A 13,197-nucleotide genomic window follows, 5' to 3' on the forward strand; every position below is an offset into this window, starting at 1 on the left:
ATGCCTCAGCCTTTATTGAAGCCATTAGCAAGACTCCAAGAGAAAGGTTATCAAACTATTTCTTATGTGGTGTTACTCCACTTGGCTTATAGCAATTCTGTAAACACTTACTTAATCTACTAATATAGAATCTTGCACAATTAACAATTTGTTCCACTTTAAGGAATGAGCATTTATGCTCTTCCTAGTTCAAATAAGGTTTTAATCTATAAGTATAGGGATGTCCACATTTTGATCTTGACTTTATCTTTGATTTGATTGGGAAGACAGAGGCCGCATGGCTAGAAAGTGGCAGAATTAAGATTTGAACCCAGGCTGTCCGACTCAAGCTCTTACTAAAGTGAGATGTTCAGCACATGTCTCTGCCCAAGCCCCAAGCACTTCCACTATTCATTCCCCTACCAATACAAGGAGTTTATCTGAAAGAGGAAGAGACAATAGAACATGTGTTCAGGTCAGAGCCCCTGCAAGACCCTACTTCTGGAAGGAGGAGCAGAGGCTGCAAGAGCTGCCCGTGGCCCAGGGTCCCAATGGGTGGAGGAGCAGAGCGGGGAACCCATTAAGGGGAGCTGGTTTCAAGAATTTAAGCAGGGATGCCCCCCCGCATAGCTTTTAGGACAAAAGCACACTTACTCAATGGAAGCTATTATTACCATTATCATCAATACAGTTATTACTACCCCGAGCATTTCTTCTTTCTCCTTATTTTGAAACAGGGAATTTATGCCACTTCACTTTTTGAATTTTATTTTTTTTCCTTCCTGATGTTGCCACCCAAAAGAGAAGGGGAGCCCCAGGGGTTACTGAGCATCTTGTACACTTAGTAGAGGTGTACATACCAACTGGACTCTGGGACCCAAAAGAAGAGATGTAAAGGAGAGAAAAAAAGAAACAGCACAGACAGACAAAATATCTTGTAGAAGACAATCAGGTCTATATTTATTTAAAAACCTTATCTGCCAAACAGGCCAAGGAAAGCCTCCCCAGTGATAGGCACTGCTGTAAACTAGAAACCTAACCCTTCTCCTGAGTACAGAGCCCTGGGAATTTCAAGCTCCAATCTACATTCACAGATGAGCCCCAGGAAGATTCCTTCTGGAAGTAGAGGGTCTGGTGGGGTGAGAAGGGGGTGACAATGATGTACCTACAGGCCTGTGTGGGGAGGGAAGAAACAGGAACCAGTAAATAGAGAACTGGAGGTCTCTTGCTGGATGTTTCATTCCAAACTTCTTGTTTTCACATCTTGCATTGCAAGATATAATACCAGTGGCTTATTGGCCATGGCCTGGACACGTGTGATATGTGGATAGCACTTGACCATCCAGCCCTTTATTCCCATCATCATGGAGCTAGTCTGAGGTCCAATTCCTTTGTGTGTGTGATGACCAGTTCCAGTATAGCTGTGAGGTATGTGTATTAAAATCTGTACCTGGGATTTGTTTTAATCAAGTGTAGTAAGACATGCAGATGCAGAAATGACTGTCATGAGGGAAGAAGTTCATATTTACAAATCCCTAGGAAGAAGAGGTACGGCCATCGTGCCATGCAGGGGCATGCGGCAAGCACCAGGGTTGGTCAGGAGGCAGAGAGAGGCAAGAGGGGACAGTGTGGACCAGAGCCTTTTTTGGGGTTTTTGCAGGAAGGGATGGGTATGGTGACCTTAGGATTGACAAGTTTGAATAACTTTGGTGGGCTCTGGGCCATAGGGTGGTCTTTATTGCCTGGTTCCTGGTCCTGGGTGGCTTAAAGGAAATACTGGCTTGGTGTGGAGAGTTTGGGGAAGGAGATAGTGGGGTGTGGGCTCTGGACTGGTTGACTTGCATATCACAGGGGTGCTTGCAGGGAGACACGTGCTATCTCCAGGAATTAGCTTGCCCTGGAGGGGCAGGTTCTCCAGGATCAGGGCTCCAAATGTCAGTGCACACAGAATATGGAAAATAAGACATTAGAGTTGATGCGGTCTGGATAACTGCTGGAAGGCCCTCCTGGATGGCATTCCCATATCGGTGTCACCTCACTGTCATGCTAGCTCTGTCTAAGGCAAAGGGTGCCAGCAGCCCTGCCCCCCAGCCTGCTGTGTCCTGGGTGCAGCTAGCCACTGTGAATGGTCAGGGGAACCCAGCCATAGCAGTGTCTAGATAAACCACCACCTGGGCAGAGTCTGACTCTGAGACCCTCCTGTCCTCTTCTCAGGCACCCCCTCAACCTTCATTTCTGTTTCCTCTGGCCTCCTCCTGATGGCTGTGCCTTCCCAGGTGGAGACTCCTGGGGCCTCTTTTCTCTCTCAGCCACTAAATCCTGTTGATGGTGTCAGCTGGGTGACACAGATATCTAGGCGTTCGAAGTTAGGCCCCTGGCTCTGCCTGGGCTTGTAACCTTGTGGAACTTTCTCATGTATGCATAGGCGCATTGTTTTTTCTTAGAGGGTTCATAATTTTCCTTAAATCCTCAAAGGGCTCCATGACTCTAAGAGGTTTACTATTAACAACAACAGCAATGATAACACCGAGCATCTCTGGCATATGTCCTATGTTCCAAACACTACTTTAAGCCCTTTGTAAGTATTAACTGTTCTCATCCTCACACAACCTTCTGAGGCACAGCGAGACTAAGGAACCTGCCGTCACACAGATCAGCAGTGTGGCTACAGACCTGGGAGCAGCAACTGTGGCCCTCAGGCCAAATCTGGCCCACTGCCCTTTTTAAAATATGAATTAATCATCCAGGTGCGGTGGCTCACGCCTGTTATCCCAGCACTTTGGGAGGCCGAGGCGGGCAGATCACGAGGTCAAAAGATCAAGACCATCCTGTCCAACATGGTGAAACCCTGTCTCTACTAAAAATACAAAAATTAGCTGGGCGTGGTGGCACATGCCTGTAATCCCAGGTACTCGGGAGGTTGAGGCAGGAGAATTGCTTGAACCCATGAGGCGGAGGTTGCAGTGAGCAGAGATCGAGCCATTGCACTCCAGCCTGGAGACAGAATGAGACTCCATCTCAAAAAAATTAATCAATCAATTACTTTTACTGTGACAAGATACGCATAACATAAAATTCACCATTTTATCCATTTTAAAGTGTACAATTCAGTGGTGTTTGGTACATTCACAATGTTGTGTAACTATCATCCCTGTATGATTCCCCAACATTTCCATCATCCCCAAAGGAAGCCCTGCACCCATTAAACAGTCAGTCCCCATTCCCTTCTCCCCCCAGTCCCTGGCAATCACTAATCTGCCTTCCGTCTCTATGGATTTACCTGTTCTGGATATTTCATATACATGGAATCATAAAATATGTGACCTTTAGTTTCTGGCTTCTTTTGCTTAGCAGAATATTTTCAAGGTTCATTCATGTTGTGGCATATATGAGAGCGTCATTCTTTTGGTAATAAAAAATATAAAGTAGCTGTGAAGTGTTAAAATAAGTTTAGTCTAAAGCTGTCTCCTTACTTATTTTAAATTGGACCTAAATATTTCTTCGTATACAGTGACCTGTTTACTAACTGGGAGTGTCAACCGATTGTGAACTACTCTTGTACCAATCACTTTGTTTCAGCAAATCACAGACGGCCAACTGTTCAAACCGTGTTCAAATAAGGCAAACACCAAGCTGTAACCAATCCAGCTGTTTCTGTGCTTCACTTCCGCTTTCCATCCATAAATCCTCTTTGACCACGCGCAGCACCGCAGCTGCTCTGAGCCTATTCTGGTTCGGAGGGACTTGTAGGGAGTGGTGGGGGAGCTGCGCCATCTGTGAATCATTCTTTGCTCAATTAAACTGTATTAAATTTAATTTGTCTAAAGTTTTTTCTTTTAACAGGTTCATACAAGTGAGTGGTCCCAAAGCTTCAGTGTCAGTAGTTCCTTAGTAAACAGTTTCTGGTGCAATCATTTCTGTAGGACCAACTCCCCAAAGTGGAATTGCTGCGTCAATGAGAGTGGCCCCTCACATTTTGGGCAATGACATCAGATGGCCCTCCAGAAAGGCCATAGCCCATTATTCTTTCACTCTTTTGTAATTAAAGAAACTATTTTTCAGAGGGTAACTTGGCAATATGTATCCATATCTTACATAGCAAGTTAACATTAGAGTCTCATCGCCAGCAATTGATCCTACAGAACTGATCAGTAAGTGGATATGGTTACAGGTCTAAGGGTGGTCAGGACAGCCATTGTTCATCACAGCAAAGAACTGCAAACCGACGGATGTCTAATGACAGGACATTGGTGAAAGGAATTATGCAGACTTACAGTGTGTTGATGTAGAAAGATCAGACATGTCAAGTGGGCCTGTAGCTAAGGGGTGTTTTTTTTTTTTTTTTGAGATGGAGTCTCGCTCTGTTGCCCAGCCTGGAGTGCAGTGGCATGATCTGCGCTCACTGCAAGCTCCGCCTCCCAGGTTCACGCCATTGTCCTGCCTCAGCCTCCCGAGTAGCTGGGACTACAGGCACCCACCACCACGCCTGGCTAATTTTTCTGTATTTTCAGTAGAGATGGGGTTTCACCGTGTTAGCCAGGATGGTCTTCATCTCCTGACCTCGTGATCTGCCTGCCAAAGTGCTGGGGTTACAGGCGTGAGCCACCATGCCCGGCCACTAAGGGGTATGTTTAAGGCCATAAAACAGTTCAAAGCTTAATGCTTGTAGCTCCACAACTCCCAGCTGCCTCTGAGTCTCACTGGCACTGACTTTCACCTTTCCCTAACAGATGAGACCTAGGAAGAGGGTGATAGAAAACAGATTTCATAGTATCAACTTGAGTGTTCTATTTGGCACCCAGACCCTCCCAGTGGTTTGGCCCAGCTCTAGGGCTGGAAAGACACAGGATCAGCCCCTTCTGTGAGTAAGAACCATTTGGCTTATTATTCCTATTACCTTACTTATTCCCATCACCCTTACACAGACTTTAGGGCAACACCATGATAGAATTATTACATTAGGACTAGAAGAGGCTTAGAGATTACCAAATAAAACATCTTATTTTGGCGGGGATTTTGAATGTTCACAACACAAAGAAGTGATAAATATTCAAGGTGCTAGATATGCTAATTGCCCTGATTTGATCATTACACATTGTATACATGTGTAATATCACTCTACATCCCATAAATATGTACAATTATTACTTCTTAACTAAAAATAAAACAAGTCGTGGAATATTCATGTGTATATGAGTTGAATGAACTTGCCTTGGTAAGATGAAAATATATGCACATCAGTATGAATGATATATATACATTATATATGTATATATGAAATGTGTATATGTGTATAAAAATTGAAAGTTAATGTTTCTTTTTTTTTTTTTTTTGAGACGGAGTCTTGCTCTGTTGCCCAGGCTGGAGTGCAGTGGTGTGATCTCGGCTCAATGCAAGCTCCGCCTCCCGAGTTCAAGCCATTCTCCTGCCTCAGCCTCCTGAGTAGCTGGGACTACCGGCGGCCACCACCACGCCTGGCTAATTTTTTGTATTTTTAGTAGAGACGGGGTTTCACCATGTTAGCTAGGATGGTCTCAATCTCCTGACCTTGTGATCCTCCTGCCTCAGCCTCCCAAAGTGCTGGGATTACAGGCGTGAGCCACCGCACCTGGCGAAAGTTAATGTTTCTATTCCAAGTTTGTTAATGATGATTATCTCAAAGGTATGGGCAAATAGGAGAATTTTAATATTTTCTTTGTAAAAAAGTGTATTGCTTTGTCTTTTGTTACGCACATATTGCTTTTGTGATTGGAAAAACAATAAAGAGAAAGAGAGAAAAAAGTCCATAGATTTGACCCTAGAAAGAAATAAATGATCCTGGCTAACATGGTGAAACCCTGTCTCTACTAAAAATACAAAAACATCAGCCGGGCGTGGTGGCGGGCGCCTGTAGTCCCAGCGGCTCCGGTGGCTGAGGCAGGAGAATGGCGTGAACGCGGGAGGCGGAACTTGAAGTGAGCCGAGATCGCGCCACTGCACTCCAGCCTGGGCGACAGAGCAAGACTCCGTCTCAAAATAAATAAATAAATAAATGAAAAATGCTACCACATTAGGCTGTGAACATATAAGTTAATGAAGGATTTTTAGAGAGATGATAGTGTACAATTTTCAGTTATATTTCATATCCCTGAAAGCATGTAAGAAAAAATAGGGGCAAATGAAATATTCCCAGGTGAGTGGACCCCATCAACCCAAGGACTGGCAGGACGTCAGTGATGCTGGGGTAAGGGAGGTTGTCAGGGTTGGATAAATGCGTGGTTCCTGGGGCCATGAAGCCACTAGAAGGCAGCGTTGGTCTGCTACATTCTGGGGCACAAATAACCTGGTGTTTGTAGAGGCGGAGGACTAGTCCACCAAATGAAGTAATAGCTTATTCAAATGGACTCAGCAGCTTGTGGGAGGAAGATCAAGCTGAGCAAGCCCATTCAGCGACCCTGCCAAAGGTTGTCCCAACTTCAGCCCGCTGCTGTTATCGCCCCCAGCTTCCAAGCTAGGTAAGAGCTGTGTGCTTGTTGTGAAAATGCGTTTTAAATGCAAATCCCAACCATTCCTTTCTAACTACAGCTGCTGCTAGTCAATTCTGACACAGACATAGTGAAGCCGCCTGTCCATGGGACAGGTGGCCAGCTACCAGAGTCTGAGGAGACTCTGTGCAAAAGAGTAACAAGACCGCTCAAGGAGACACAGCTGCAGAAAACATCTGGCATTTACAAAGCATGATTTCTGGAATCATAAAGAAATTAGTATACAAACCAAAAAAAGAGCGTGTTAACTGAGGAGGTCCAGAGAGCTATTCTGGAGGATGAAACTGAGTCATGATAAGAAGGAAAGCGTGAGTGAAAATTTAGATCCTATGATACCATGTGAGTAGTGGGAGAGTCAGAAGGTGAAAAAGGAACAGATGGAAGAAAAGTGATTGTTCAGCATATATTAGGAGCAACATCTTCTTTTTTCTTTTTCCCTTTTTTTCTTGAGACACAGTCTCGCTCTGTCCCCCAGGCTAGAGTGCAATGGCGCCATCTCCGCTCACTGCAAGCTCCGCCTCCTGGGTTCACGCCATTCTCCTGCCTCAGCCTCCCGAGTAGCTGGGACTACAGGCGCCCACCACCACGCCCGGCTAATTTTTTGTATTTTTAGTTGAGACGGGGTTTCACCATGTATGGTCTCGATCTCCTGACCTCGTGATCCACCTGCCTTGGCCTCCCAAAGTGCTGGGATTATAGGCGTGAGCCACCGCGCCTGGCCAGGAGCAACTTTTTCTAACCTAAGAAAATCTTGATTTAGATTGAATAAAACCACTGATCCCCAGGGCAGAATTAATGAAAAACAAAATCAAAGAAACTCACCTGGAAATATCCTGGTGAAATTTCTGAATTATAAGAACAAAGGAAAAAAATGGCTAAGATTCTGAAGAGAAAGAACAGGTTACTTAGAAGAGAAAAGAAATCTGGCTAGACTTTTTAGCTCACTGAGGGAAATGAACCAGGATCCAGAAATCCTATGCCCGTCAAGGCAAAAGATGCATAGTTCTGGACATGTAGATCCTCAGAGTGTGCATATCCATTGCCCTACCTGAAGAAAATTGTAAATGAAATCTTGTAAATAAATGGCTTTTAAATCAGGGAAGTGTTCTCAAGCAGGACAAGATGAAGAGGATGAGAAGTGATGGTTGAGAAATGGATCTTGTAAGATGGGTAATAATGATGACAAATAGGGATTATTAATCAGAGGTGACATACTCTTAAGGGAAAATTGAATAGAAGCAGGGAAATGAAAACCATAAATTATCTGGATTTGAAAGAAGAGTGTTTGTGGGAGGGAGAGATGCTGAAGAAAAAAAAGAAGGCGGATGAAGTATTTATGATTTCATTTTTATTAAACAAACGTTTTCTCTGTAGACCTGCATTGTGCTGGGCACTGTGCTGGGTTCTGAGGATGCAGGATCTGTCCCCAACATTAACATGGGGAGTTATAAAATTGTGTTCTTTAGTTAAAATTTAGTTATTTTTAGGCCAGGCGTGGTGGCTCATGCCTGTAATCCCAGCACTTTGGGAGGCCGAGGCAGGCGGATCACTTGAGGTCAGGAGTTCAAGACCAGCCTGGCCAACACGGTGAAACCCTGTCTCTACTAAAAATACAAAAATTAGACGGGCGTGGTGGCCAGTGCCTGTAATCCAAGCCTGTAATCTCCTGCCTCTGGAGGCTGAGGCAGGACAATCGCTTAAATCCAGGAGGGGGAAGTTGCAGTGAGCCGATATCATGCCACTGTGCTCCAGCCTGGGTGACAGAGGGAGACTCCGTCTAAAAAAAAAAAAAAATTTAAAAAAAATATTTATTTTTAGAGACAGGGTCTCACTCAGTTGCCCAGGCTGGTGTGCAGTGGCACAATCATAGCTCACTGCAGCCTCTACCTACTGGGCTCAAGTGATTCTTTCACCTCAGCCTCCCAAGTAGCTAGGACTACAGGGGCTTATCACCACGGCAGGCTAATTTTTTTTTTTTTTTTTGGAGACGGAGTCTCGCTCTGTCGCCCAGGCTGCAGTGCAGTGGCGTGTTCTTGGCTCACTTCAAGCTCCGCCTCCTGGGTCACGCCATTGTCCTGCCTCAGCCTCCCGAGTAGCTGGGACTACAAGCACCCACCACCATGTCTGGCTAATGTTTTGTATTTTTAATAGAGACGGGGTTTCACCGTGTTAGCCAGGTTGGTCTCAATGTCCTGACCTCGTGATCCGCCCGCCTGGGCCTCCCAAAGTGCTGGGATTACAGGCGTGAGCCACAGCAGCCGGCCCCCTGGCCAATTTTTTTAAACTAATTTTTTTTTTTTTGTAGAGATGAGGTCTCGATACATTGCCCAGGCTGGTCTCAAACTCTTGGACTCAAGCAATCCTCCCCGCTCAGCCTCCCAAAGTGCTGGAATTAACAGGTGTGAGCCACCACACCCCACCTGGCTGAAACTGTGTTCTTGTTTGTTTAGTAACTAGCTTGGGCTAATCTGTGGAGTCTTTCTTTCTTATGGTGTGTGACTGCTAATGCCTAGGCTCAGTTTTTAATTTTCATTCTTGCTTTTATTTTTAAGCCTGGCTTTACAGGGGTTGCCCTTCTGTCTGCTCAGCTTCGTGGGCAACCAATGATAGGTCATGGTTTGTGCTCAAACATCTTGAGCCAGTAAGTCTTCCACTGTTTGTTGATGGCTCTGTGTGTGGTTGAAGAAGGCATTCAAAATTCAAGCAGTCCACAAATGTTCTCCAGCTTTTGATTTTTGCCACATTTCTCATGTCTCTTTTGGGTATCCACGTGGCCTCAGCGTGAGCCATGGATAAGTGGACAGCTAGTATTCTTTCTGGTTTCCTGCTCAGGGACCCAGCTATGTGCATGCCTCCAGACCATCAGGGACTGTCTGAGCTCACCAAAGTCCCCTGTGGCTGGCCCATTCCTGGATCTCACTGTTAATTTCTTCTTAGTTTGCCATTCTTTTGTTTGCCCCTCCCACAGCTGCAATCTCAGTCTAGTTGTACTGTTGGTCTTCCCTGCTAATTTGAAACCAAGATTGCTTCTGTTTTGAATTTTCTGAGCTCCACTTGAAATCAAGGCAGTGCCCTCTGGCAGCAAAGTTGCTGGTTTCCACCAAACGCTCTGCGTGGGTAGAGCTGCGGAAGATCACAGATTCCCACTGTCCGTTCCTTAAATTTAGTAGTTTTTCTTGAATAAATGCTTCTCAATTTGATCGATGTTGGCTGATTTTCAGGCTCCTCAAATGATACTTTTTTGACAATTTTGTCAAGTTTCATTATTGTTTTTTGGGGAGAGGATTTGATGAGCTCCTGACTCCACTGTTTGGGCAGTCCCCACTTTATTATTATTTTTTTAAAGACACTCAAGGTGATTCCAGTGTGTAGCCTTGACAGAAAACAACCATATTTTAAAGAGAGAGCAACTGCAATCACTTGGCCATCCACAGTGGGCAGCTCTGAGAAAGAACAGTTCACATTCAGGAACCGTCTGCCCCTGGGAAGGTCAAACAACCTTACCTTAAGTTAGTCCTGATAATATTTCTATGAATAGAAATATCCTTATTAAACTTATCCCTAAAGAAATGACTCATGTTCCTAAGTAGAAATTGTAATTATTTGTCAAGCCTTTACTGAACACTTCCTATAAGATGGGCACTGAGCTCAGCAATGCACAGGCATTATTTAATGTCACTCTCACAATGACCCTAGGATCTGGATGCCACCATTTCCATTTCTTTCCCCTTCATAGTTGAGAAAATTGATGCTTGCCTCACAGAGCTTCATTCCTTGGATCTGACCCCAATGCCCTTAACACAGCTGCTTGACTGTAGATGAAACAAGGACTCAGTCCTGGCTACACAGACTACTTGGGCAGCTTTTAAAATTCACATTCCTGGGTCCCATCCCCAGACAAATTGAATGATCATCTCTAGGAGAATGGGTTCCAGGAAAAGAAATATTTTAAAAGCTTCCCTGGTGATTCTAAAGGGCATCCCCTGATGAGACCCACTGCCCAGGAACACTTAATTTAGGCTAAACTAAGCAATGCAAAAAGCCATAATTTCAATTAAATAAAGCTTTACATACAAGGTCCTGAGTGAGAAGCAAGCTAGTGGCTGGGTGTATGTAAGTCATGACTCATGGTAAGAACCGGGGAAGGATGGTCACTGCACACTCAGCAGCACACTCCACCATCCTCACCATCCCTCCAGTGGGGTCACTGGGCTGAGGGGCACAGAAGCAAGATAGCCCTTTAAAAAAAATATTATGGAATACTATGCAGCCATAAAAAAGGATGAGTTCATGTCCTTTGCAGGAGCATAGATGAAGCTGGAAACCATCATTCTCAGCAAACTGACACAAGAACAGAAAACCAAACACCTCATGTTCTCATTCATAAGTGGGAGTTGAACAATGAGAACACATGGACACAGGGAGGGGAATATCACACACTAGGGCTTGTCAGGAGGTGGGAGCTAGGGGAGGGATAGCACTAGGAGAAAAACCTAATGTAGATGATGGGTTGATGTGTGCAGCAAACGACCATGGCATGTGTATACCTATGTGACAAACTTGCAAATTCTGCACATGTATCCCAGAATTTAAAGTATAAAAAAAAATGTTTAAAAAATTTTGGCCGGGTGCGGTGGCTCACGCCTGTAATCCCAGCACTTTGGGAGGCTGAGGCGGGCAGATCACGAGGTCAGGAGATTGAGACCACCCTGGCTAACACAGTGAAACCCTGTCTCTACTAAATACAAAAATTTAGCCGGGCACGGTGGCGGGCGCCTGTAGTCCCAGCTACTCCGGAGGCTGAGGCGGGAGAATGACGTGTAAAAATACAGAAAATTAGCCGGGCTTCTGTAGTCCCAGCTACTCAGAAGGCTGAGGCAGGAGGATGACATGAACCCGGGAAGCGGAGCTTGCAGTGAGCCGAGATCGTGCCACTGCACTCCAGCCTGGGTGACAGAGTGAGACTCCGTCTCAAAAAAAAAATGTAAATTATTATTATTTTTTAATTTTTCCATAAGCTATTGGGGTACTGGTGGTATCTGATCACATGAGTAAGTTCTTTAGTGGCGATTTGTGAGATTTTGGTGCACATATCACCTAAGCAGTATACACTGCGCCATATTTGTAGTCTTTTATCCCTTAACCCCCTCCGACTCCTCCCCTCGAGTCCCCAGAGTCCATTGTATCATTCTTGGGCCTTTGAGAAGCGCGATAGTGCTTGATATGCACTTGAAACTGCTTGTGAAAGATTGTGCTGATTTATACCCTCTGCACCCAGCCAGCGGAGCAGAGGCAGATTGCTTAGAGAGTGGTCCCGGCCGCCCTGGGGTCTGGAGCAGCTGTTAGCAGGGTTGCTGATTTCAGGTCTTTTGGGGCCCATCAATCCCAGTCCTGGATCTTGCTGAGGGCTGGAAGCCTTGGGGTTTGTTCACACATTTCTTAGTGCAAAAGCGCGATCTCTCCTATGCCTGAACTCGGGCTGCTGCTTGCTGTGGGGGAATAACGGGCTACAGAGAATGCCTTCTCCGCTGTGCGGAGCTTTGTTGTGCTCCGACTTTGCTGTATTTGAGGGCAGTACAGCCTCAGGAGCTAGTGAATCACAGGTTCAGCAGGCTGCAACCCCATGGACCACCCCAGTAGGAGAAGCTTTGGGTAATGTCTATAGGAGCAGGGGACGGAGTATTTTGCAACATGCTCTATTTAAAGGTCCCGCCTTCTCTCCCAAGGGCCAGCACTGCTGGTCCTACCCAAGATGAAAGGGCGGTGGGCAGGAGTGGTCCTGCTGACCAGCCGCCTGGCAGAAAGGCCTCATCTCAGCCAGGGGGGGCCACCTGTTGGTTCTCAGCTCTTACCAAAGCCGGAATAGGGAAGTCCCAACCTTGCTTCTGATGCTGTGAATCTGTACTCCTCTCTGGCTGGCTTACTCAGCACTGTGAGGGGTCTGCCTTCTCCAGGGCTGCCTCACAAAGGGGAGGAATTAATGAACTTCTATCACGGGTGTATTGGCCAAGGCTGATCCTCGTGTTTTGAATCCTCATGAATTCTACGCTGGCTCTTCACATTTGGGGTTTGTGCCTGAAGTGTGACACATTTCCCCTAGCTTCACGGAAGACAGTACCAAATGATCCTCTGCGGTCATCCTGCCCTGGAGTACGCTGGACCACAGAAGCTGGATGTGTAGCCCGAGCTTCTCTCTCACTACAGCCCTGTCGGAAAACTCTACCCCCCAAACCAGAGGGAAACTTGTGCGCCTCCCTGACCAGCACCTTCTCTCTGGTTTACAGACGGGAAACGGGAAGTAACGTGGGTATGGAGGCAACAGCCGCTGTCTGTGGAGGCTTGGCCCTGCTTAGGAGGGGTGCGTGAGCTCCTGGTCCTCTGACTTCACAGTGAGTGACACACAAGCGCCTCACTCAGGTGTAGAATTTACACCAGCATCCTCAGGTTAGGGAGTGTCAGTAATAATCATGATGGTAATGACTTCAAAAATAAAATGAATGCATTCACTAGTGAAGGCTCCACATGGGTAAGGACTTTGTTTTATTGACTACTTAGCAGGTGCTCTGTATATGTTGGTTGAATGGGCAAATAATAAAATAATGGCCATGGCATGAGTTTGTCAGATAATGATAGACAATCCCAGGGAGTTCCTTGGAGCACAGGTGCTATGCAGCCAGCCTGGAAATGGTGCAGG

At 45.8% G+C, this 13,197-nt stretch overlaps 1 annotated feature.

Annotated features, from left to right (window-relative positions):
- Positions 11,696-12,196: an enhancer, noted in NCBI's record as "H3K4me1 hESC enhancer chr9:38733012-38733512 (GRCh37/hg19 assembly coordinates)". NCBI's record gives its function as "activates a minimal SCP1, AML or CMV promoter by ChIP-STARR-seq in primed H9 embryonic stem cells {active_cell/tissue: H9 hESC(primed)}" and the evidence as "EXISTENCE:reporter gene assay evidence [ECO:0000049][PMID:30033119]".

Source organism: Homo sapiens, chromosome 9 (genome assembly GCF_000001405.40).
Source record: "Homo sapiens chromosome 9, GRCh38.p14 Primary Assembly".
NCBI lineage: Eukaryota > Metazoa > Chordata > Mammalia > Primates > Hominidae > Homo > Homo sapiens.